Source organism: Homo sapiens, chromosome 16 (assembly GCF_000001405.40).
Source record: "Homo sapiens chromosome 16, GRCh38.p14 Primary Assembly".
Lineage (NCBI taxonomy): Eukaryota > Metazoa > Chordata > Mammalia > Primates > Hominidae > Homo > Homo sapiens.
Window position 1 is genome coordinate 15,742,536 of NC_000016.10, and position 25,831 is coordinate 15,768,366.

At 48.8% G+C, this 25,831-nt stretch overlaps 1 protein-coding gene and 2 long non-coding RNA genes across 6 annotated transcripts in view, besides 3 other annotated features; 2 read left to right on the top strand and 1 right to left on the bottom strand.

Moving 5' to 3' along the window:
- Nucleotides 1-25,831, bottom strand: part of MYH11 (myosin heavy chain 11) — a 153,894-nt gene that overhangs the window by 39,401 nt on the left and 88,662 nt on the right. For all 4 annotated transcript variants that reach the window (NM_002474.3, NM_022844.3, NM_001040114.2 and 1 more), the window contains 11 exons: nt 21,261-21,356; nt 18,005-18,123; nt 17,041-17,193; nt 15,292-15,465; nt 13,806-13,979; nt 10,859-10,973; nt 7,603-7,796; nt 5,512-5,633; nt 5,339-5,408; nt 5,035-5,195; nt 2,594-2,702 (listed from right to left, as the gene is read on the bottom strand). In NM_002474.3, coding sequence (NP_002465.1) covers nt 2,594-2,702; nt 5,035-5,195; nt 5,339-5,408; nt 5,512-5,633; nt 7,603-7,796; nt 10,859-10,973; nt 13,806-13,979; nt 15,292-15,465; nt 17,041-17,193; nt 18,005-18,123; nt 21,261-21,356 — 1,487 coding nt within the window. The remainder of the gene's footprint in view (nt 1-2,593; nt 2,703-5,034; nt 5,196-5,338; nt 5,409-5,511; nt 5,634-7,602; nt 7,797-10,858; nt 10,974-13,805; nt 13,980-15,291; nt 15,466-17,040; nt 17,194-18,004; nt 18,124-21,260; nt 21,357-25,831) is intronic.
- Nucleotides 14,633-15,266: an enhancer, noted in NCBI's record as "H3K4me1 hESC enhancer chr16:15851025-15851658 (GRCh37/hg19 assembly coordinates)". NCBI's record gives its function as "activates a minimal SCP1, AML or CMV promoter by ChIP-STARR-seq in primed H9 embryonic stem cells {active_cell/tissue: H9 hESC(primed)}" and the evidence as "EXISTENCE:reporter gene assay evidence [ECO:0000049][PMID:30033119]".
- Nucleotides 15,267-15,900: an enhancer, noted in NCBI's record as "H3K4me1 hESC enhancer chr16:15851659-15852292 (GRCh37/hg19 assembly coordinates)". NCBI's record gives its function as "activates a minimal SCP1, AML or CMV promoter by ChIP-STARR-seq in primed H9 embryonic stem cells {active_cell/tissue: H9 hESC(primed)}" and the evidence as "EXISTENCE:reporter gene assay evidence [ECO:0000049][PMID:30033119]".
- Nucleotides 16,400-17,192, top strand: LOC124903650 (uncharacterized). Its single transcript, XR_007065004.1, has 2 exons — nt 16,400-16,594; nt 16,688-17,192. It is a non-coding gene; the product is annotated as an uncharacterized LOC124903650 (long non-coding RNA).
- Nucleotides 18,801-20,215, top strand: LOC124903651 (uncharacterized). The gene is made up of 2 exons (XR_007065005.1): nt 18,801-18,897; nt 19,047-20,215. It is a non-coding gene; the product is annotated as an uncharacterized LOC124903651 (long non-coding RNA).
- Nucleotides 23,377-23,671: a silencer, noted in NCBI's record as "tiled region #5546; HepG2 Repressive non-DNase unmatched - State 12:CtcfO, and K562 Repressive DNase matched - State 12:CtcfO". NCBI's record gives its function as "represses a minimal TATA promoter and a strong SV40 promoter by Sharpr-MPRA in HepG2 and K562 cells {active_cell/tissue: HepG2 | K562}" and the evidence as "EXISTENCE:reporter gene assay evidence [ECO:0000049][PMID:27701403]".

The following is a 25,831-nucleotide window of genomic DNA, read 5'->3' on the forward strand; positions in this document are numbered from 1 at the left end:
GGACCAGCCTGGGCAACATCATGAGACCCCATCTCTACAAAAACAAGTAACCAGGCATGGTGGTGTGTGCCTGTAGTCCCAGCTAGTGAGGGGTCTGAGGCAGGAAGATCGCTTGAACCCTGCAGGCTGAGGCTGCAGTGAGCCACGATTGTGCCACTGCACTCCAGCCTGGGTGACACAGTGAGACCCTGTCTCCACAAATAAAATTTTTTTAAAAATTATAAGATATGTATTACCCCATGCTGTTACATCATTCTTACAACTTTACATAGCCATCTTTTAAGTTAATTTATTTATTTAGCGATGGTCTTGTTTTGTCACCCAGGCTGGAGTGCAGTGACACAATCATAGCTCACTGCAGCCTTGAACTCCTGGCCTCAAGCGATCCTCCCACCCCAGCTCCAGAGTAGCTGGGACTACAGGCACATGCCACAGTGTCCAACTAGACAGCTAGGTAGAAGTCTTTTTTTTTTTTTTTTTTAGCAGACCTATTCAGTAGCCAAAGCCATCATTTTAATAGCTGAAAACATTCCATTGATAGATGAACCATTATTGAACTCATCATTCAGCTAGGACTGGACACTGAAATTCTGCTATTGTAAATAAGGCCATAATGAATGCCCTTAACTCTTGATTTTCTTTTCTCTTTTTCAGGTGGAGTCTCGCCCTGTCACCCAGGCTGGAGTGCAGTGGCACGATCTCAGCTCACTGAAACCTCTGCCTCCTCGGTTCAAGTGATTCTCCTGCCTCAATCTCCTGAGTAGCTGGGATTACAGGTGCCCACCACCACACCTGGCTAATTTTTGTATTTTCAGTAGAGATAGGGTTTCGCCATGTTGGCCAGGCTGGTTTCGAACTCGTGAACCCAGGTGATCCTCCTGCCTTGGCCACCCAAAGTGCTGGGATTACAGGCATGAGCCACCACACCTGGCTAAGACGATTTTCTTAGGATAGTTTTTCAGAAGTTGGTTCAGTGGGGACGAACATTTCCAAAAAGCAGCATCTGCTGTCCTTCCCTGGGCTGCCTCCTAACTCTTTGTTTTCAAGCCCCTGCCTGGCACAAGGAAGCCCCTGCTATGTACTCCAGCAGCTTGCTTCATGCACTTATCACAGTTTGCCATTATGTATCTGTCTCTGTGATTATCTGTTTATTGTTTACTCCCCACCAATTCGGCTAGAATATTCATGGAGGTCAGGGACCATGGTGTGTGTTCACAGCTGCACCCCCAGCACCTAGCATGTGCCTGGGATACAGCAGGCACTCAATGTCTGTTTGCTTGGTGAAAAAGCCTTGCACCAGTGGATACACTCAAGGGCATATAAGGAGAAGCCTAGTCTATTGCAACAGAGCATGTCTTTGTGCCATGGGGACAATGCAACCAGTGCCACTACAGGAACCAGTTGAGTCCTCTGGAGGCCCTGACTCTGCCAGAAATAAAAAATAATATGCTATGGCCAGATGAGGTGGCTCATGCCTGTAATCCCAGCACTTTGGGAGCCTGAAGCAGGAGGGTTGCTTGAGGTCAGGAGTTCAAGACCAGCCTGGGTAACAGAGTGAGACTCCATTTCAAAAAATGCAAAAAGTAAAAAAAAAAAAACCTGCAGTATTGATACATGCAACAGTCTGGATGCTCTCTAATTCCATGTATAGAATATTTGTTTTATTTTTTTTTGAGACGGAGTCTCGCTCTGTCACCAGGCTGGAGTGCAGTACAGTGGCGCGATCTCAGCTCTCTGCAACCTCTGCCTCCCAGGTTCAAGTGATTCTCTTGCCTCAGCCTCCTGAGTAGCTGTGACTACAGGCGTTTGCCACCACGCCCAGCTAATTTTTGTACATTTAGTAGAGACAGGGTTTCACCATCTTGGCCAGGATGGTCTTGATTTCTTGACTTTGTGATCCACCCGCCTCGGCCTCCCAAAGTGCTGGGATTACAGCCGTGAGCCACCGTGCCTGGCCTTTTTTTTAAATAAAAAAAAAAAGAAAGAAGAGACAGAGTCTCAATCTTTCACCCAGGCTGGAGTGCAGGCATGATCTTGGCTCACTGCAACCTCTGTCTCCTGAGTTCAAGAGATTCTCCTGCCTTAGCCTCCTGAGTATCTGGGATTACAGGTGCCTGCCACCATACCCAGCTAATTTTTGTATTTTAAGTAGAGACAGGGTTTTGCCATGTTGGCCAGGCTGGTTTTGAACTCCTGACCGCAAGTGATCCGCCTGCCTCGGCCTCCCAAAGTGCTGGGATTACAGGCGTGAGCCGCCGCCCCCGGCAGCATTCTTGAACCATCAAAATTACAGAACTGGAGAACAGAGTGGTTTCCATGGCTACGGAGGAAGTGGGTGTGGCTATAAATGGGCCACACGAGGGATTCCAGTGCGGATGGAAATATTAATACTTTGTGTTAAGGTCCTGGCTATAGCCTATGTGCCAAAGGACAGGGCCTCCTCGGGCCAGAGAACCGCCAATGCTCAAGGTCTGAGTTCGAGCCCTCCATTCCACACCCACTTGCGACCACCTCCTGTCCCAAATGTGAAGGCTCCAGAGTGAAGAAGCAGGGCTGGGGGCCCCTGGGAAGGGGGCTGGGGCAGAGCACTCACTTTGGTGAAAAGCCTCCACCACTGCCAGTTCCGCAGCTTGAGGTAGGCGGCGCAGTTCCTCTGAATCACCTTCATGGCGGTCAGCTGCTGCTGCCTCTTGGCAAAAGCCCTAGGGAGGGGGGAAGAGAAGGTGCGGGGGTCATGAAGCCACACCCTGCTGTCAACAGAGCCCTGCCCTGCAGCATCCTGAACCTGCACAGGGACATGCCCCAATCTCCCCAACTCAGGTTCTTCCAGAAACCCTGTGTGACACATGTGTTGTCTGGCTGCAAACAACTTAAATCATCTACAGGACAGAGCCTTTTTCAGTGGACAAGGAAGACCCAGGGCTCACAACATGCCCTGGACTTAGCTGAGATCCAAACACCACTCAGAAAACACAACTATGTGCATCATTCCTAAGGGGGCTCCCGTACTCCCCAGCTGCACTAGCTGTTTCTTTTTTCTTTCTTTCTTTTTTTTTTTTTTTTTTTTTTGAGATAGAGTTTCGCTCTTGTTGCCCAGGCTGGAGTGCGGTGGCACGATCTCAGCTCACTGCAAACTCCACCTCCGGGGTTCAAGTGATTCTCCTGCTTCAGCCTCCTGAGTAGCTTGGATTACAGGTGCCCACAACCATGCCTGGCTAATTTTTGTATTTTTAGTAGAGATGGGGTTTCCCATGTTGGCCAGGTGGGTCTCAAACTCCTGACCTCAGGTGATCCACCCACCTTGGCCTCCCAAAGTGCTGGGATTACAGGTAGGAGCCACCATGCCCAGCCTACACCAGCTGTTTCTGACTAACTTATTTATTTATTTGTTTATTTTCAGAGACAGGGTCTGGCTCTGCGGCCCAGGCTGGAGTGCAGTGGTGTGATGATGGCTCACTGCAGCCTCAAATTCCTGGGCTTAAATGATCCTCCTGCCTCAGCCTCCCAAGTAGTTGGGACTACGGGCACATGCTACCATGCCCAGCTAATTTTTAAAGTTTTTTTTTTTTGGTAGAGATAGGGGTCTCGCCATGTTGCCCAGGCTGGTCTCAAACTCCTGGGCTCAAGCAATCCTCCTGCCTCGGCCTCCCAAAGTGCCTGGGATTACAGGTGTCAGCTACCACACCCAGCCCTGTCAAACCTATTCTCTCCTGGGTTGTTTTAGGAATTTCACACTGTGACCCTGAACCAGCACTCTTCCCGTTTAAGGGCTATCGATAGATTGAGAAACGATAGAACAGTGAACGTAATTCTGTCTTCCCTGCTTGGCTGCCATCTTGGACACAGGAAAACTTTAAGAATAAAATTGCCCCAGTTATCCAGGAAGGACAGCAACAGGGAACTTAGTAACGAAACTTGACAAGTTAGGTCTGTTGCGGGAGGGCCAAGAGCTCCCAAAGCTGGCCTTGACCATCTTGGGTCCATGTGTCAATGAATGAACCTGACACATCAGGGTCCTACTGGTGAGGGTGTGGTCTCTGCCCAATGACAACACACACCCCAGACAGAGAGCGACCCCACCTGTCCCTGCAGTCCCTGGGGTATGACTTTCATTAAGGAACCCGAACCCTTCCCCGGCTCCCAGTCTTCACAGAACAGCTGGGACATCACACCCTCCAAAACCCTGCCTTATAAATCCCACTGGGACACGGGGATCTAGACACCGTCAAGTCCTCTTTCCTCAATGGTTTATCCAATTCTAACATGTCTAGGCTGGGCGCAGTGGGTCATGCCTATAATCCCAGCACTTTGGGAGGCCAAGGCAGGTGGATCACTTGAGACCAGGAATTTGAGACCAGCCTGGCCAACATGGTGAAACTTTGTCTCTACTAAAAATACAAAAATTAGGCCAGTGTGGTGGTGGGCGCCTCTAATTCCAGCCACTCGGGAGGCTCAGACACGAGAATTGCTTGAGTCCAAGAGGCAGAGGTTGCAGTGAGTTGAGACTGCGCCACTGCACTCCAGCCTGGGCGACAGAGAGAGAGAGAGAGACTCTGTCTCAAAAAGGAAGAAGAAAGGAAGGAAGGAAGGGAGGGAGGGAAGGAAGGAGTGAGGGAGGGAGGTAAAAACAACAACAATCATTTCTGACCTGAGAACCACGCACTGTTCTAAGCTCTCGTCATGCGTTATCTTAGTGACACCTCATGAACAGCTCTCTGAGGTCAAAATGATTATGCTCAGTTTCCAGCTAAAAAACTGGAAGCTCAGAGAGGTAGAGTAACTTGCCCAAGGTTCATCAGCAAAAACTGGGGCATCCACGATGAGAACCCAGGTCTAAAACTCGTTCCCTTCCTGCACTCGTAACTTGGTACATTTATTTAAAGTAGAAGCATTTCTTCCCCTTCAAGAAAAGGCTGTCATTCAGTCAATGATGCATCTTAAACAGGTGGCCTCTTAGAATCAGGGAATCAGAACAGAAAGGCCCCTGTTTGTGATTCGCGTTTGAGGTATTAGGATGCAGGAAAGCATCTTTACTTTCTGGCCAAGTAGCCACGACACATCGCCTGGAAGGCCATGATGACATCGGTGATCTTCAAATCTCGCTCCTCCTCTAGGTGGGCCAGGACGCCAGTTCGGAAGAAGATTTTGCTCTGCCCTATCCTGTATAAGTTGGGGTCAAGTTCCAGGGCTTTGATCTGCAAAAGGAAGGAAAGGAAGAGCTCCTGATTTCCACTGTGCCATTTGGCCAGTGATGACATGGGTAAGAACGGTCCCACCAAGAGCAGCAGGTGGCTTGCGGCCAGAGGTTGGGAGGTCTCTGGTGGACTTCTGGGCTCACCATGAGAATGCAGGCCTGCTTCCCGTCCATGAAGCCTTTGGGGATGGCATTCGCCGCCAGGATCTCGTAGCTTGAAACACAGAGCAGAAGTCACCCCGGGTACCTCCAGCATCCATTCCTCCACCCAGTCCCGCTCACCCCCTGCCCTACCTGGGCCAGACCTTGGGACTTACCGTTGGCGGAACTCCTGGAAGACGATCCGGTTGGGGAAGCCCTGCCGGCAGATGCGAATGCCTTCCAGCACCCCATTGCACCGCAGCTGCTCCAGCACCAGGAACGCATCCAGCTTGCCGGACTGCAAAGGTCAAAGAGGGCAGTGGATCCCTGGGGCCAGAAACCATGGCGCAGCAAAGCCCCAAACCTCCTACCTGGATGACCCACCTGGCCAGGCCATGAGGGTACCAACAGAAGCACCCAAGGAGGGCTTAGCTGAGGGCCGAGGGGCAAAGCAGTGCCCCCCTCTGGGTTTTCATCTCTTTGCTTCGGCAATGGCTGCCTCATGATCTCTCTGGTTCTTGGTGACACTAGCATCGCCTGGCTGGAACCTGGGGCTTCCTCCTCATCACCTCGTCTCCCTCACTTCCTGTCCATCAGCAGTTTGATTGCTTCTAGCTCCCAAATATCTCCCAACCCCCCCACTTCTCTTCACCACCATTGTCTCCACTATCTTCTCCTGCCTGGACAACCACAGAAACCACCCACCTGGTCTCTCTCTCTGGTCTTGCCTCTCCCCTCAATCCCTTTGTCCTTTTTATTTTTTGAGATAGGGTCCCATTCTGTCAGCCAGGCTGGAGTCCAGTGGTGCGATCATGGCTCACTGCAGCCTCAAACTCCTGGGCTCAAGTGATCCTCCCAAATCAGCCTCCCAAGTATTTGGGACCACAGGTATGTGCTACCATGCCTGGAAAATTTTTAAAAATGTTTTTGTAGATATAGGGTCTTGCTATGTTGCCCAGGCTAGCCTTGAACACCTGGTCTCAAGTGATCCTCCCACCTCAACCTCCCAAAGTGTTGGGATTATAGGCATGAGCTAGCATATGCCCAGCCCCCTCATTCACTTCCTAAAATGTAAATCTGACCATGATATAGCCCTGCTTTAACACCCCCAATGGCATGCCTAGAGAGAGAAGGCCAAGCTCCAGAAAGAACACAAGGAGCACCACGATCTAGCCCCTGCCTACCCATTCAGCCTCAATCCTACCTCACACCATCTGATTCCTACCTCATGCCATCACACATTTGCAACATGAAATGACCTATTTAGCATTTTCTTTCCTTTTTTTTTTTTTTTTTTAAGATGGAGTCTCGCTCTGCTGCCCAGGCTGGAATGCTGTGGTGCAATCTCAGCTCACTGCAACCTCCGCCTCCTGGGTTCAACAGATTTTTGTTTCTCAGCCTCCTGAGTAGCTGGGATTACAGGCGTGAGCAACACGCCTGGACACTATCTAGCATTTTCTTACCTAGTTCCTTCACTTCTCACCTCCACACTCTTGCTTAGCCTGGGCCCTCTGCTTATCCTAGGCCCCCTGCTTATCCTAGGCCCCACCCTGCCTTCCATGTCACCAAGTTGATGGCCACACATTCTTAACGTTCAAGTTCACCAGAAGCTTTCTCTGAGTCCTGAGGCTGTGGGAGGAGCCCTGGCTCTTTGGTGTTCTCCTAACTGACCACATTCCATCACCATCATCAGCTGTATGTTTACCTCTCCCCGTGTCTCCCATAACCTCAGCACTACTGGCATCTTGTAGGGATTCTGTGCTGGGGGTTGAGGGACCATCCTGTGCATTGTACAATGCTTAGGGCATCCCTGGCCCCTACCCACTAGATGCTGACTAACAGCCCCCTCCTGGTTGTGACAACCAAAAATGTCTGTAGCATGTCCATATAGAGGACACAATCGCCCCAAGCTGAAGATGCCTGCACCAGATTATGAGAAACCCACAGGGAAGGGCTACAATTTTTCTAACACTGCTCCCCAGCACCCAGGACAGGGCAGAGCCCAGTGAATACTTCCTGGGATAATGAATGAATGAGTGGCTGGATGACCTGCACAGCAACTCCACAACTGAAAAGTCTCTGGATGCATCCTCCCTTCCTCCTTTTCCTCCAGGGATGGGGAATGGGTCTGAGATTCAGATAGCCTTCCCCACATGGAAAATGGGGTCCTCGGGGTAGGTGGGGGCAGAGGGCGCCCTGGGGACGCTGTGACCGCTTGGGACAGCCCTGGCTTCTGGGAGCCCCAGGGTCTGGGCGGCGGGCCTCACCCTCTTCTCGTGGTTGGGGATGATGCAGCGCACGAAGTTGGGCGTGGTGTTGCGTAGCGTGGTCATCAGCTTGCCCAGCTGCTCCTTGTACAGCTGCCCCACTGTGCGGAACATGCCCTTCTTGGTCTTGGAGGCGCTGGGCAGCGAGCTCTCCGTCATCTTGGCCATCTGGTCCAGGCCCACGATGCGGTCCACTATGGGGCACAGCCAGGGTGGCATCAGCCTCTGGCCCACCCACCCCTAAATAGGCCAGAGGCTCAGCCCCAGCCCCACCCACCAACCTGCCCACTCCAATCTTTCCTTCCATCACCAACGCCTCCTTCGGCAGTCAGGGTTTCCAAGTATTGTCTATTGGGGAAATCCTGAGAGCACCTGAGTGGCAGAAAGAACAAATTCCCTGTGATGGAGTCACGCTGACCTAGGAGTCAAGCCTGCTCTCGCTGTCCACTCACTGACTAGCCTTGGCTTGGCACTATCCTGTGCCTCAGTCTCCCTTTCTACAAAAGGGAGGTAATAATACCGTCTACCTTCTAGGGCAGGGGTAAAAAAAAATAAGGCACAGAAGGCACTTATTCCCTGCCAGCCTCCAATCTTTCATCCACCAACAAATAGTTATTGAGGACCTTCTGTGCTCCAGGCCCTGGGGACACTGCTGTGAACAAAAAAAGACCCGGCCCCCTCACCCCGCTTATATCACAGGGAAGGAGACAGACAGAGATCACAGATGTTAAGTATGGAATATCTTGAGTAGTGAGGTGTGCGTAGAAAAATAAAAATAGGGTAAAGCGGAGAGAGAGTGAAGAGGGTGCTCTCTTAGACAAGGAGGTGGTGGGCTCTGCTAAGTTGATATTTGAGCAGAAACCAGCAAGAAATGAGTGGGTAACCATGTAGGTATCCACGGAAGAAATATTCTGAGGCAGAAGATACAGCACACACTCCGAGATAGCCTGGCACATCAGTAAGTGCTCAACAAAAAGTAGGTATTATTATTATTATTATTATTATTATTATTATTATTATTATCATTATTTTATTTTATTGAGACGGAGTTTCACTCTTGTTGGCCAGGCTGGAGTGCAATGGCGTGATCTCGGCTCACCACAACGTCCGCCTCCCGGGTTCCAGCAATTCTCCCGCCTCAGCCTCCCAGTAGCTGGGATTACAGGCATGCGCCACCACGCCCGGCTCATTTTTTTTATATTTTTAGTAGAGACAGAGTTTCTCCATGTTGGTCAGGCTGGTCTCGAACTCCTGACCTCAGGTGATTCCCCTGCCTTGGCCTCCCAATGTGCTGGGATTACAGGCGTGAGCTACCGCGCCCGGCCATCATCATCATCATCATCATCATCATCATCATCACCTCCAAGGTTCTTTTTCTACCAGCCCAGCAGGTCCTGCACATGCCAAGCCCAACCCACAGGCCATGGATGGCACCATTTCTTCACCTTCTACTCAGATTCTGTGTAACAATCTTTTTTTTTTTTTTTTTTTTTTGAGACAAGCTCTCACTCTGTCGCCCAGCTGGAGAGCAGTGGCACGATCTTGGCTCACTGCAACCTTCACCACCCAGGTTCAGGTGATTCTCCTGCCTTAGCCTCCTGAGTAGCTGGGATTACAGGCACCCACCAGCACACCCGGCTAATTTTGTTTTTATTTTTTATTTTTAGTTTTATTTTTTCAAGACAGAGTCTTGCTCTTTTGCCCAGGCTGGAGTCCAATGGCACAATCTCAGCTCACTGCAACCTGCGCCTCCCAGGTTCAAGCAGTTCTCCTGCCTCAGCCTCCCGAGTAGCTGGGATTACCACCACCACGCCCAGTTAGTTTTTGTATTTTTAGTAGAGATGGGGTTTCGCCACGTTGGCCAGACTGGTCTCGAACTCTTGACCTCAACTGATCCTCCTGCCTCAGCCTCCCAAAGTGCTGAGATTACAGGTGTGAGCCACCATGCGCAGCCTCATGCTTGTCTCTCTGCTTGTCTTTGAGAGTCTCATCTCTCCCACAAGACTGTGGGTCCCGCAGAGGAGGGACTACAGGCTTCATCATGTGTCCTGGGATGACACAGACCCAGGGTGCGATGTTGTTCCCTAGGCCCAGAGCCTGGCATATGGTTAGGGCACAGCTGGCCCCTCCTGGAGCCCTTTTTTTAGCATGCTTAAAACAAGGGGAGACCAGTCCTGTAAGCCCCAGGCCCATGGGCCCTGTGCCAAGAATAAAACCTGCTGTGGACACTGATGGCCAGGGACAAACAGCAAACCCCCTCCCCTCATCATCACTCCAGCAGCTCTTCACAGGGATCATCTATTCACTGGTTCTCAAAGGGAGCCGGAGTGTGGTCCCTAGACCAGCAGCATCACCTGGGATGAATGTTTTCAGGCCCGCCCCATCCCTGGCCCCAGACCTGCAGAATTAGATCTTAGGGTAGGCCCAGCCATCTGGGTTTTAAAAAGCCCTCCAAAGAGGGCCAGGTGCAGTGGCTCACACCTGTAATCCCAGCACTTTTTGAGGCTGAGGTGGGCGGATCACCTGAGGTCAGGAGTTTGAGACCAGCCTGGCCAACATGGGGGAACCCCGTCTCTACTAAAAATACAAAAATTAGCCAGGTATGGTGGTGTGTGCCTGTAATGCTAGCTACTTGGGAGGCTGAGGCAGGAAAATCACTGGAACCCAGAAGGTGGAGGCTGCAGTGAGCCAAGATTGCACCACCGCCCTCCAGCCTGGGTGACAAAGCAAGACTCTGTCCCTAAATAAATAAACAAAGCCTTCCAGGGGGTCATGATGCCTGCTTGAGTTTGAGCATCACTGGTCTAATTTAACCCTCATAATACCTCTAGTAGAGACGGCAACTATTATTGCATCTCCTGTTTTACTAATGAGGACAATGAAGCTTAATGACATCAAGTGACTCATCCAAGACCACAGAGCTAGGAGGTGGCAGAGACAAGATACAGTGAAGTCCTTCTGACTCTGGACAGGGCAGTCTAACTCCCCGTGCCTGGCATGCTGTTTCTCCTCTATTGCCTGAGCCCTGACCTCAGGACCTCAATCCCCTCGGGACATGTAGGATTGAGGGGCTCAGGGACCCCCACTCAGGAAGAAATTGTTTCAACGAGACATCACCAGCCCATGCCAATGCTCTTCCTTCCCCTGCCCCCATGTAAAGGCCTCCCCTCCTGGGGCAGGTGTGAGAGTCGGGGGACTTGGGTGTTCAATTCTCCAGCTCAAAGCAGAACATGGACCCGAGCAGAGAAGGCCTTACCGTCCTTCCACAGGTCGGCCACAAACTTGTCGGAGGAGGCATTGAGCAGGGAAGTCACGTTGTCATTCAGCGGGTCCATATTCTTGGTCAGCCAGGCACTCGCATTATAGTCCACCTGCCAAGGACACCCTGCTGGTCAGAACCCCTGGGAAACTAGAAACTTAGAAACCAAGGCCAGGACCCCAGCCCTCCCATTGTCCTTCCAGATCTTCTGAGGTCAGAGAGGAAATGACGTTTATGACCACCATGATGGGACTCCACAAACACCAGTGAAGAGACCAACAGCCCAGGGACCTGTGCCCACGTAGTAGGACATCAGCCAGTGATAGCCATTGCTGGGAAAGCCTAGTTTCCATTCCATATTCTCCTACTAACGCTGCTGTGGTAGCCTCCCTCCTCCTAAGCCAGCACAGTACCTGTGAGTTATACACTATTAAGAGATTTCATGACGGCAGATGCCCTCCTGCCGACATGCAAAACTCCCCCCTCATCATCTTCCCAATCATCCTGGTTTAGAAATTAAGCATGGCAGCCAAGCGTGGTGGTTCACACTGGTAATCCCAGCACTGTGGAAGGCCAAGGTGGGTGGATCATTTGAGGTCAGGCGTTCAAGACCAACCTGACCAACATGGTGAAACCCCATGTCTACTAAAAATACAAAAAAAAAAAAAAAATTAGCCAGGCATGGTGGTGCACACCTGTAATGCCAGCTACTCGGGAGGCTGAGGCAGGAGAATCGCTTCAGCCTGGGAGGCGGAGATTGCAGTGAGCTGAGATTGCGCCACTGAACTCCAGCCTGGGTGACAGAGTGAGACTCTGTCTCAAAATAATTAAATAAATAAATTAATTAAGCATGGCATCCTATTTTCCACTCTCTAATGAGCATAATTTGTAACTCAGAGATCCTGATATATGGATATACAGAAAAAGGACATATAGGCTTTTTACATTCCTGACTCAAACAATGACAATGCCCAAAGCCGTAATTTTTACTATGGTGAATATTAAATGAAAGGAACTGATAATACAGCTTTGCTGGGTTATCATGGGATGTGGGTTATCAGGATAATAGGTAGGCTTGATCTGAGAGAAGACTGAAAATAATAATAAAAAAAATCCACTGATGAAGTAGGGAAAAGAAAAGTGTTGTCTCTATATGCTTAAAGGAACATATACCCCCTTGAATATAGGCTAGGAGTTGGGAAACTTTTGGTGAAGGCCCAGATAGTAGATATTTTTGGCTTGGCAAGTCATACAATGTTTTGTTTGTTTGTTTGTTTTGGTTTTTGAGACAGAGTGGTTCTCTGTTGCCCAGTCTGGAGTGCAGTGGTGCAGTCTCAGCTCACTGCAACCTCCAACTTCCTGGGTCAAGCAGTTCTCTTGCCTCAGCCTCCTGAGTAGCTGAGGTTACAGTTGTGTGCCTGTAATCTCACAGCTGGCTAATTTTTAAATTTTTTTTATTTTTTATTTTTAGCAGAGACGGGCTTTCGCCATGTTGGCCAGGCTGGTCTCAAACTGCTGACCTCAAGTAATCCACCTGCCTTGGTGCTGGGGTTACAGGCGTGAGCCACCACACCCAGCCAAGTCATACAGTCTTTGTCGCAGCTACTCAACTCTAGCACTGTAGTATACAAAAGCAGCCAGCCATAGACATTATGCATACAAATGGGCATGGCTGTGTTCCAATAAAACTTTATTTACAATAACAAGCTGTGGGCCAGATCGGACTCTGTTGCCAGGCCCTGGTAGAGAGCATTGTTTGTGCCCATGATGCAGTGGAGGTACTGAGGAGTCAATAGAATACTACAATTCTGCAAGCCAGACTAAGCTATGTCCTTTGTACATTATCCAGGACTCTTGAGAGCCACAGGGCAAGGGCCTATACAATAACAGCCAAGGCATGTTGATGATGATGATGATGATGATGAATACAACTATCATAGATTTCCCTGGCCAGAGCAGGCTGGCAATAGCAAACTCAAGACCGTGACATGGGAGATTTTTGTTGAAGCCAGGTGTGGATGTATTAGTCACCCCATTCCAGTTGGCCCCGCCTGTTGGGTATAACTTGTAGCAGGAAGGATTTAGAGTCTATACAAGAAAAGCAGGCTGAGGCCAGGTACAGTGGCTCGTGCTCATAATCCCAGCACTTCAGGAAGCCGAGGCAGGGAGATCTCTTGAGCCCAGGAATTCAAGACCAGCCTGGGCAACACAGCAAGACCCCATATCTATACATAATTTAAAAATTTAGCTGGGCGGCCAGGCACGGTGGCTCATGCCTGTAATCCTAGCACCTTGGGAGGCCGAGGCGGGTGGATCACCTGAGGTCAGGAGTTTGAGACCAGCCTGGCCAACATGGCGAAACCCTTCTCTACTAAAAATACAAAAATTAGCTGGGTGTGGTGGCAGGTGCCTGTAATCCCAGCTATTTGGGAGGCTGAGGCAGGAGAATCTCTTGAACCCGGAGGGAGAGGTTGCAGTTAGCAGAGATCACGCCATTGCACTCCAGCCTGGATGACAAGAGCAAAATTCCATCTCAAAAAGGAAAAAAGATTTTAGCTGGGCATGGTGGTGTACACCTGTAGTCCCAGCTACTTGGGAAGCTGAGGCAGGAGGATCGTGTGAGCCCAGGAGGTTGAGGCTGTAGTGAGCTATGATCGCACCACTGCACTCCAGCCTGGGCGACAAAGCGAGACCCTGTCTCCAACAAAAACAGAAAGAAATAACTGTCTGGACGTCACGGTTGGAAAACATGAGAGTGGCTACAGCTGATGCCTTACAGATGCGTAGACAAATTACGAATAGGACTTGGTTGGGATTCGCTTAGCAGCAGATGGCTTTGCAGTTTCCAGGCAGCCCAAGGTTCTGCCACTCTCAGACTGTCTCTGCGCTGAGCAGCCACTGGGGGTCCCCTGAGACAGAGTCCCCTGGGCCCTGTGGCTGGTACCTTCCCAGCATAATGGATGATGGAGAACTCAGTCTTGTCCTTGAGCTGCTTGGGCTTCTGGAACTTGGGGTGGCTGCCCTGCTCCGTGCACAGCTTCTCCACGAAAGACTTGTCCGTGGCTTTGGGGAACCAGCATTCCTCGTCCAGCAGGGCCAGCACACCTGGAGGGTTGTTCTGTGGGAGACAAGTAGGGCTTGAATCAGAGAGAACACCCAACCTCAGGCATTCCATGAAGAGCTGGCCAACTATACACAACGCATGGGCATCCGCCGAGATCTGATACTGTATTTGCCCACATATAAAGATGAGTTTATGACCCCCATGCTTCCAAATCTACCTTCAAATTACCCTGTGCCCAATGGACCAGTAACAGGGATGGAAGGCAGAACATAATGTTTGCTGCCGCCCCCTAGTGGGCAACACGCAGGCAACATCATGAAGAGTTCATAACTCTTTTTTTTTTTTTTTTTTTTTTGAGACAGAGTTTTGCCTTGTCGCCCAGGCAGACGGTGCAGTGGCGCGATCTCGACTCACTGCAAGCTCCGCTTCCTGGGTTCACGCCATTCTCCTGCCTCAGCCTCCCGAGTAGCTGGGACTACAGGCGCCTGCCACGGCGCCCGGCTGATTTTTTCTATTTTTAGTAGAGGCGGGGTTTCACCGTGTTAGCCAGGATGGTCTCCATCTCCTGACCTCGTGATCCGCCCGCCTCGGCCTCCCAAAGTGCTGGGATTACAGGCATGAGCCACCGCGCCCGGCCGAGTTCATAATTCTTGCAAATGAATTTGTTGCTTGACTTGAATTCACCTAGGGTTCCTGTTAGAAAAGTTTTTTTTGGAGACAGGGTCTCACTCTGTTATCCAGGCTGGAATGCAGTGGCGCAATCTCGGCTTACAGCAACCTCTGCCTCCAGGGCTCAAGCAATCCTCCCACCTCAGCCTCCCAAATAGCTGGGACCACAGGCGTGCACCACCAGGCCCGGCTAATTAGTAGAAACCCTGTCTCTACTGAAAATACAAAAGTTAGGTGGGCGTGGTGGTGCACGCCTGTAGTCTCAGCCACTTGGGAGGCTGAGGCGGGAGGATCACTTGAGGCAGGGAGGTGGAGGTTGCAGTGAGGCAAGATTGTGCCACTGCACTCCAGCCTGGGCAACAGAGTCAGACCATGTCATAAAAAAAAAAAAAAAAAAAAAAAAAGCAATGGCAGAGAAGGAAAGGGAAGGGAAAGAGGGTAGGGAAGAAAAAAAGGAAGAAAAAAGAGGATGGAAGGAAGGCAGAAATTAAAGAAAATACCTTTGATATGAAAATGTGGGTTAATGGAAATTGTAAGAGTTCACAAGGATTCAGCTTACAGCCTTTCAGGACTGGGTGATGGATTGGGTGGGGGAATGCTATGTGCATGGGGAGAGTGTGGGGTCCACGTCGGCTCCACAGAGGCCACACACGTGTACAAGGTGTGACGGAGCCCCGCACGCCCACGTGCCCCTCACCGGTCGCTCGATGAGCTCGATGCAGGGCTGTAGGTCCAGCCCAAAGTCGATGAAGTTCCACTCGATGCCCTCGCGCTGGTACTCCTCCTGCTCCAGGATGAACATGGTGTGGTTGAAGAGCTGCTGCAGCTTCTCGTTGGTGTAGTTGATGCACAGCTGCTCGAAGGAGTTCACCTGAGCACATGGCGTGGGGGCGGGGCGTGAGCATCTTGGTATGAAGTCAGAAGACAAGGAGCCCCACAGAAGCTCCACCCGACAGCGCCCCCATGGCCCGCCCACATCCTGTTCTGCCATCCCAGCACCCAGACAGGGCTGAGGCCCCAAAACATGCTGCCTAGAGTCCACCAGGGCTGGTGAAGTTGATATCACATGGCCCTCACACACCTTAAAGATGCTTATCTCCTCCATCTGCACAACCATCTATGGATGGACAAACCTCGTAAGGCACGCTACTGCATGTACAGATGTGGAAACATTTTACAGATGTGAAAACAGAGGCGCAGAGAGAAAGTGACTCGGTAGTACACTTCTTTCGGGACATCTATCAATCTTAAAACCTCCTGGCTGGGTGTAGTGCTCATGATTGTAATCCCAGCACTTAGGGAGGCCAAGGCGGGAGGATCACTTGAGGTCAGGAGTTTGCGACCAGCCTGGCAAGCATAGCGAAACCTCTCTCCACTAAAAATACAAAAATTGGCCAAGCACAGTGGCTCATACCTGTAATCCCAGCACTTTGGGAGGCCGAGGCTGGTGGATCATTTGAGATCAGGAGTTTGAGACTAGCCTGGCCAACAGGGTGAAACTCTGTCTCTACCAAAAAAAAAAAAAAAAGTAGCCAGGCATGGTGGCACTAATCCCAGCTACTCGAGAGGCTGAGGCAGGAGAATCACTTGAACCTGGGAGGCGGAGGTTGCGGTGAGCCAAGATTGCACTACTGCACTCCGGCCTGGGCAACAGAGCGAGACTCTGTCTAAAAAAAAAAAAAAAATTAGCTGGGCACAGTGGTACACTCCTGTAGTCCCAGCTACTCAGGAGGCTGAGACAAGAGAATTGCTTGAACCCAGGAGGCGGAGGCAGCAGTGAGACAAAATTGTGACACTGCATTCCAGTCTGGGCGACAGAGCAAGACTCTGTCTCAAAAAAAAAAAAACAAGACAAGACAAAAAAAAAACCTTCCCTTTCTCTGAGAACTTTCTTCAAACCCATGGGTAAAGGATCCAATATCCATGTTTCTACTACATGAGGTATTGCAAGCTCCTGCAAACAGTTCTTGGCTTGGAGGTGACCATGTAGCCCAATTCAGGTGAGTAAGAGTCAGTGAGACTTAATTCCAAGATTTTGGTTGGAACTGTTAGAAAAGAGATATGTGCTTTTTTTTTTTTTTTTTTTTTACCAGGATTACTGAGAGGCAGTCTGGAGCTGTGGCAGCCATCTTGCCCCCGTGAGGGGAGAGCCTGCTTGAGAATGGAGCCAATATGGAGGAAGGCAGAGAGAGAGAGAGAACGATGGCGGGAGATCAGACCCTGCCTACGGGATCCAGCTACATGTCTGGCCTTCTCAGTTCCAGAAACCAATGCATTTCCTGTTGGATTTCTGTCTCTTATACCCTCAATGATCCACCCTTAACTAGACAGCCTCCTACCCTACAGTAGCCATCTACATGCCTTTCTCCAAAATCATGACTCCTCCAAGAAAAAGCCCATCTCAGACAACCAAGACCATGGCTCTTAGGATCCCACCGAGCTGTACCTCAAAGATCTCAAATCCAGCTATATCCAGGATCCCCAGGAAGGAAGCCCCTTGCCGATGGGTCTTGTCCAGGGCTTTGTTCACGCGGGTGAGTATCCAGCGGAAAAGGCGCTCATATGTTGCCTTGGCCAAAGCCTCTACAGCAAAGTCAGCCTGCAGAGGGCAACCAGGGGAACCCGGTTATTCTCAATGGGCTCCATTTTCACATAAGCCAGGCTGGTGGTGAAGATTTTTATTCTTGGCCGGGTGCAGTGACTCACACTGTAATCCCAGCACTTTGGGAGGCCGAGGCAGGTGGGTCACTTGAGGTCGGGAGTTCAAGACCAGCCTGACCAACAAGGCAAAAACCCTTCTCTACTAAAAATACAAAAATTAGCCAGGCGTTGTGGTGCATGCCTGTAGTCCCAGCTGCTTGGGGGACTGAGGCAGGAGAATCGTTTGAATCTGGGAGGCAGAGGCTACAGTGAGCTGCGATGGCACCACTGCACCCCCCCCTGGGCAACAGAGCAAGGCTCTGGCTCAAAAACAAAAAACAAACAAACAAACAAAACCTGACATGGGACTGTGAATATTCTAGTATTGAATAAATGAGGGATAAAGAGATGGATGGGTGGATGCATGGACAGATGAATGAATGAATGAATGAATGGAATGACAGCTGGATGGGTGATGGATGGACGGACAGATGGACAGATGGCTGGGTCATGGATGGATGGACAGATGGATGAGTGAGGGATGGAGAGATGATGGGTGAGCAGATAGATGGGCAGATGAATGGATGGATGGATGGATGGATGAACAGACAGATGAATGAGTGGGTAGAAAGATGGATGGATGGACAGATGCAGAGGCAGACCATGGGTGAATGGATTAATGAATACATGAATGAGTGAACAGGTGGATAGATGGATGAATGGATGGATGGGTGGGTGCATGGATGGATAAGTGATAAGTACATCATTACCTGTTCTTTTGTCTGAGCTTTCTGTACCACATCTCGCCCAACCTTGATACGAGGAGTGAGGATGGATCTGGTGAAATCTGTCACATTAATTCCCATGAGGTGGCAAACTTTCTGAGCAGCTGGATGGAGAAAAGAAACATCGTGAGTGCATCACAAAAGAAATAGCTTGGCAAGAAGACACATCGCATGGGATATTTGTGATCTGTGAATACAGCGGGTTCTCTTGGGGAAATGGGACCCGCTGACCATGAATATAGCTTGAAGTGTCCTAAAGGCTGCTGTCATTAGTGGTCACACTCCCCAGTATTTTGCTGAGAGGCAATGATTGGGGTGGGCTGAAGCAGGCCCCAGTTGGGGGTTTAGGGTCAGGTAGTTCTAGTTTCAAGTCCCTGTCCCTTCACACTTCCAAGTCATGTGACTTTGGAAAAGCTCTTTACCCTCCCAGCATCTTGCTTTTCTCAGCTTTAAAAAGGGTCAGCTCTTCGGTACCTTGTTGGTACCCAGGACTAAATAAGGTAAAGTATGTAAAGTCCCTGAGATAGATAGATTTATTTATTTATTTATTTGTTTATTTATTTATTTATTTTTGGAGACAGAGTCTCGCTCTGTCGCCCAGGCTGGAGTGCAGTGGCGCGATCTCAGCTCACTGCAACCTCCGCCTTCCGGGTTCAAGCAATTCTCCTGCCTCAGCCTCCCGAGTAGCTGGCATTATAGGTGCCTGCCACCACACCCAGCTAATTTCTTTTGTATTTTAGTTGAGATGGAGTTACACCGTGTTGCCCAGGCTGGTCTCGAAGTCCTGAACTCAGGCAATCCGCCCACCTCGGCCTCCCTAAGTGCTGGGATTACAGGCGTGAGCCACTGGCCCTTGAGATTTATTTAACAGTTACTTAGTAAGTATTAAATAGTTATTAATAGTAACATTTATTGAACAGTTACTGTTCAATAAATATTTCTTTCACCCTTCTAGGATATGTGTTGCAGCATTGTTTGCAATAGCAAAATGCTAGAGTCAACCTAAATGCTCTTCTTTTATTTTGAGATGCAGTCTTCCTGTCGCCCGGGCTGAAGTGCAGTGGTGTGACCACGAGCTGGTCCCTTAACATGAAAATAGCATTACATGCTGCTTTGCATGTGCAAGGCAGAGTAAATAGAGTGATTTTAGGATTTTTTTTTCCCCATCTCTTGGCAAGAGCACTTTTTCATTTCTCTTTCCCTGAGGTCTTTCCTTGGCATCCGGATTCCATTAATTTGCCAGATTTAGGGACTCTAATACATAACAAACACCTGAGAATGAAACTGCCACTGCAAAATTATAACTGAGACACTGAACAAGATCTGACCTAACGGACTCCACCTTGCTTCTAACCTCCAAGCTCCACTGAACCATTTGTGGGTGTAAGCCGAATTAACTTGGCAGGAACTTAGTTTATAGTTTATTTTTTATGTTTTGGACACAGAGTCTCACTCTGTTACCCAGGCTGGAGTGCAGTGGCACAATCTCGGCGCACTGCAATCTCCGCCTCCTGCGTTCAAGCAGTTCTCCTGCCTCAGCCTCCTGAGTAGCTGGGATTACAGGCGCCTGCCACTACGCCTGGCTAATTTTTGTATTTTTAGTAGAGATGGGGTTTCACCATGTTGGCGAGGCTGGTCTTGAACTCCTGACTTCAAGTGATCCACCTGCCTGGGCCTCCCAAAATCCTAGGATTACAGGCATGAGCCACCACGCCTAGCCTCTTAGTTTATAGTTTAAAACACAAGAACCCTTTCCCAAAACAAACCCCCTTCTTGCCTGGAGACTAGACTGCCTTTGTAGGAATAACAAATTAGCCCAAAGGTTTGAAATTATGGTTTAGGAGTCCTGTAACTGGAGGCTACAAGAGTCTGACCCTCCCTAAATTGCTCCTGGGGATAACATCACTATTGTAAAACCTAAGACCAGTACTTGAGATATTTTTGCGGACCCTGGCACCAGGTGGATCAGCTGACACCACCCAGATCGAGAAACTGGCTCATCTGATCTTATGGCCTCTGTCCAGGAACTGACTCAGGGCAAGAGGACAGCTTCGACTCCCTGTAATTTCATCTCTGACCCAACCAATCAGCACCCCCAACTCACTGGCCTCCCCCTAACCACATTATGCTTAAAAACTCTGATCCACGAATGCTCAAGGAGATTGATTTGAGTAATAATAAAACTCTGTTCTCCCATGCAGCCGGCTCTGCGTGAGTTACTCTTACTCTATCGCAATTCCCCTGTCTTGATTAATTGGCTCTGTCTAGGCTGTGGGCAAGGTAAACCCAGTAAGCGGTTGCAACAGGTTTGATCAAGGTGGGCTCTAGGGAGCGGGAAAAAGCAACACAATATACAGCCTGGGCTGGGAAATAAGAAACCTAAGTTTTGCTCTCAGCTCAGCCACCAACAAGCATAGTGGTAGCCAGGCCAGCTTCTCAAAACACAAAATACTGTTTATTTGTGGGTAGGTTTATCAGATTTAGGGGGAAAATTACAGGATGCTCAGTTAAACCTGAATTTCAGATAAACAAGAATACTCTTTTGGTATAATCACGGTCCAAATGTTACAAGGGACATAATTAAAATTTAAAAAAAGGTTTGTTGTTTACCTAAAATTGAAATTTATCTGGACATCCTGTATTTTATCTGGCACCCCTAATTCTCAGGGCAATTGAGGTCTGTCTCCCCAAGACGACCACAGATACCGTAAGAAGAGCTATTCTTGTGTCATTTCCTGCTGTATCCCAGTGGCATATTGCAGGGGCTTGAGAAATATTTCTTTAACAAAACAATTAAGTGGGGTATTTTAGAAGAGATGGTCCCTCGGGATCTTGTCTGGTCACTATTAGGGGTAGGACGTGATGACTCTTGCCTGTAATCCCAGCATTTTGGGAGGCCAAGGTGGGAGGATCACTTGAGCTCAGGAGTTCAAGATCAGCTTGGGCAACACAGCGAGACCTCGTCTCTATTAAAACTTGTAAAATTTTGTATTTAAAAAAAAGAACAAATAAATAAAACTATTAGGTTTGTTTTTTTTTAATCCCTGCGCTCTGATTCAATAACTTTCCACATAGGGTCTTGAGCACTGAAAAGTTTGAAAAAGTGAGTGATAAGAACCTAGTCCAACTGTTGTTAAAATCCCAGATACCTTCACCTTGAAAAATAACCAGTGGTTAAATGTCACCTCCCCCACCCCCCCAACCCCAAAGTCATTGGTCATCAGGAAAAAGTGGCAAGTACCTGTGTTATCTGGCATGGACGCCTGGTCTGTGTTTCTTTCCTTCTTGAAGACGATATTTCCAAGCTGCAGGACCGATGATACCACCTTCAATATGGCTGAGGTGGGGAGAGAAGGGCAGAGCAGACACAAAGGTCAATGCCAAGGTACCCTGGAGTTTTGGAGCCTAAAGCCACTGGGGACCCAGAGCCAGCTTACATCTTTCCTCTGAAGAAACTAGATTCTGAGCTCAATATTTTCATATGGTTGCTTAAAACCTTGCATTACAATGGAATGCCACGCAGCAGGGACTGGCAAATTACAGCCCATGGACCAAATCTGGCCCACTGCTTGCTATTATACATAAAGTTTTAGTGGAAAACAGCTATACTCATTCATTTACATATTGTCTGTAACTATTTGCATGCTACACTGGCAGAGTTAATGAGTTGCAACAAAGATCGTCTGGCCTACAAAGGCTAAAGAATTTACTATCTGACCCTTTACAGAAAAATGTGTTAGCAACCCCTGCCACAGAACAGTGAGAATGAATGAGCTACAACTACCACAAATCAAAACTGATGTATTGGGGCCAGCATAGTGACTCATGCCTGCGACCCCAGCACTTTGGGAGGCTGAGGTGGGAGAACTGCTTGAAGCCAGGAGCTTGATACAGCCTGGGCAATGTAGGGAGATCCTGTCTCTAAAACAAAAAAAAAACCCTGACATATCTTCCAGACACAAATACCGAACAAAAGAGGACAGATGGAAACAAGAACATACTGTCTAAGTCCATATATAGACCGTCCATTCAAGAAGAGGCAAAACTAATCGATGCTGTTAGAAGTCAGGATAATGATTATCCTTAATTGAGGGAAGTTCTTAGAAGGTGCATGTGGGAGCTTCCATGGGGCTGGTGGCATTGTCTTATTTAAAATGGATTCTAGTTACACAGACGTGTTCAGTTTATAATAATTCTTTGCACTGCACGCTATGGCATACACAATTTTCTCCATGTAAATCATATGTCAATAAAAGGATTTTTGAAATAAAAACCCTGTGCTTCTTACATACTCTTCTGGGTGTAACAGATGCCCATGTTGGGATGAAGAAGATATACATTTGTTTCCACTTGTTGTCCAGGTGTCTCCAAACAAAAACGCTGTGTTCCCAGAATACTTGGAACCTTTCTGACTCCATACTCAGGCCATGTTACTGTTAAAATAGTTTCTATGTCTGAAATCCCCATAAGACCATGAGTTTCTGGAGAGTGGAGGGCCTGCCCTAATCATCTTTGAATTTCCAAAGCCTATTCCAAGGTCCTGATACACATGGGAGGGAGGGAGAGAGATGGATGGATGGTAGGTGGAAGGTGGATGGATGGATGAATGAATAAATGGATAGAGGATGGGTTCATGGATGAATGGACGGATGGATGGATGGGTGGGTAGATGAATGGGTGAATGATGGACGGATGAGTAGAGGATAGATGGATGAATAGAGGATGGATTGATGGATGAATAATTCATGGATAGAGGATAGACGGATGATGGATGGATGGATAGAGGATAGATGGATAGATGGAATGGACAGAGGATTGATGGATAGACGATGGATAGATGGATGGAGAATTGATGGAGGAATGGATACAGCATTGATGGATGGATGATGGATGGATGAATGGATGGATGGACAGATGATGGATGGATGGTAGATGGATGAATGGATGGATGATGATTAATGCAAATTCTTGGCTTAGCTTAACTCAGGTACAAATCACCCAGAGTTCTGGCTTCAAATCAGTCACTATGTTCCAGGAACAAAGCCTAGAGATCCCAGACTTCTCTGGTTCCTCAGGCCAAACCAGACATTACAAGGCCCTTCACAACAGCTATTCTCACGCCATGGGGTCCCTGGCCCAGCTCAGCAAAAGGACCCAGCTGCTGACCACCCATCCATTTGCTCCCACTTACTATGGTAGAAAGCCTTCTCCCCAAAATGAATGAAGCTGCTGTTGACAGGGCTTGGAAACACACTTCCTTTTAACCATAACATCTATGAAAGAGTCTTTGTAAACTATGAAGAGTTGCACTCACAGTTTTAAAAGTGTCAATTTAAACTAAAGATTCCTGAAATGCCTGCACAGCCCAGGCGAGCCGGCCAACTCAGGGTTTCTCAATCTTGTCACTGCAGAAATTGGGGGCCAGATAATTCTCTATTGTGGGGAGCTGTCCTGGGTATCATGGGAAGTTTAGTAGCATCCCTGGCCTCTAACCACTAGATGTCAGTGGTGGTTACCCTGACAGAGTTGTGACAACCACAAATGTCACCAGATACTACTCAATGTCCCCTGGGAGGCAAACTCACCTCTGGCAGAGAACCACTGGTCTAAATGAACAAAGCCAACTAATGAGGACTGTGGGGACCCAAGGAGGCCACAAACCCATCTGAAGGGGCCAGCAGCTACTCCGTCATTGCCACAGGGGATATAAGCCAAGTGTTGCTGGAACTTCTGATTTTTCTAGATAATGGAAACCCAGAGTTTTTATGTGAAGTGTACCCATGTTTTTTGGTGTGTGTGTGTGTGTGTGTGTGTGTGTGTGTGTGTGTGTGTGTGAGACTGAGTCTTGCTGTCACCCAGGTTGGAGTGCATTGGTGCAATCTCGGCTCACTGCAACCTCTGCGCTTCCCAGGTTCAGGGGAATTCTCCTGCCTCAGCCTCCAGAGTAGCTGGGATTACAGGCGTGTGCCACCACACCCGGCTAATTTTTCTATTTTTAGTAGAGACGGAGTTTCACCATGTTGGCCAGGCTGGTCTCAAACTCCTGACTTCAAGTGATCCATGTGCCTTGGCCTCCCATAGGGTTGGGATTATAGGCCACAGTGCCCGGCCTACCCATATTTAAACTTTAGGAACCAATTTCTAAAAATTTTGAAGGTTGTAGTGGCCGATCTCTCCTGTGGGCTCAGGAACCATTGGTTTGCACTTTCTGGTATAGTTAAATGTAATTCCAGAAATGACAAAAGAATGCCACCACTCCCAGGCCATAAGAGATGAACCTTGGGGCAGAATTAGCAGACAGCAAAGAAGTAAACCAGTGAGGAGACACAACACAGCAAGGGTGGTGACGGCTGGCAGCATCCTGGTGTGCTGGTGCAAAGCACGCGCTCTGCAGTTAGAGAGTCCTGAGTTCAAATCCCAGCTTTGCTTCTTATAAATCTCATTATCTCTGAATTTCCAAATCCTAGTTCCGGGTCCAGATACACATGGGGAGGGAGGGAGATGGATGGATGGCAGATGGAGGGTGAATGGATGGATGAATGTATAAATGTATAGAGGATGGGTTCATGGATGGATGGGTGGGTAGATGGATGGACGGATGGGTGATGGATGGATGGGTGATGGAAGGATGAGTAGAGGATAGATGGATGATAGAGGATGGATTGATGGATGAATCATGGATGAATAGAGGATAGAGACTCTACATGAGTCTCAATAAGTCCCATGAGCCTCAGTTTCCCTATCTGCAAAACGGAGATGGTAACAGTAGTACCTGCTTCGTGAAGTTTAGGTCTTGTAAGATGCTGAGCAAGGGCCTGGCCTAGTAGGTGATAAAGAGTGGAAGCCACCTATATTAGGTTGAATGTTGGTCTTTCTAAAATATGTCCACCTGGAACCTGTGAATGTGGCCTAATTTGGGGGGTTACATTTATTTTTTTTTCCTTTTTGTGGATACCGGGGTCTCACTATATTGCCCAGGCAGGTCTCGAACTCCTGGGCTCAAGCTATCCTCCCGCCTCTGCCTCCCTGAGAGCTGGGACTACAGGCGTGAACCACCGCGCCCAGCCTGAACGTGGCCTATTTTGGAAAAAATCGGTCTTCGCAGATGGAATCAAGTACAAGATCTCAAGATGAGATCATCTTGGATTAACCTGGTGGGCCCTACATTTAATGTCAAGTGTCTTTATGATGGACAGAAGAGAAGACCCACAGAGTAGAATGCCACATGAAGGATGAGGCAGAGACTGGAGTGAGACAAGCCAAGGAAAAGCCAGGAACAGCCAGAGCCACCAGAAGCCAGGACAGAGGCAAGGAACAGATCTCCCTCAGTGCCTCCAGGAGGAACAACCCCTGCCAACATCTTGTCTTTTAAAAAAAAAAAAATTTTTTTTTTTTAAATTTTTAGTAGAGAAGGGGTCTTGCTATGTTGCTCAGGCTGGTCTTGAACTCCTGGCCTCAAACGATCCTCTTGCCTTGGCCTCCCAAAGTGCTGGGATTACAGGCATGAGCCATTATGCCCGGCTCCTGCCGACACCCTGATTTCAGAACCCTGGCCTCCAGAACTGGGAGAGAATAAATTCCTGTTGTTTTAAGGCATCAAGTTTGTGCTAATTTTTTACAGTGGCCTTACACCTCTCTTCTTGCTGAGGAATAAGAAACAGGACTTTCCAACATCAGACATGTGTACCACCAGGGATACACAGGATGGACAATTTAGGTGATTTTATTTTTTATCTTCAAAATACATTAGAAGCAGTATAACCAGGCCAGGCATGGTGGCGCATGAGGATATCTTGAGGCCAGGAGTTCAAG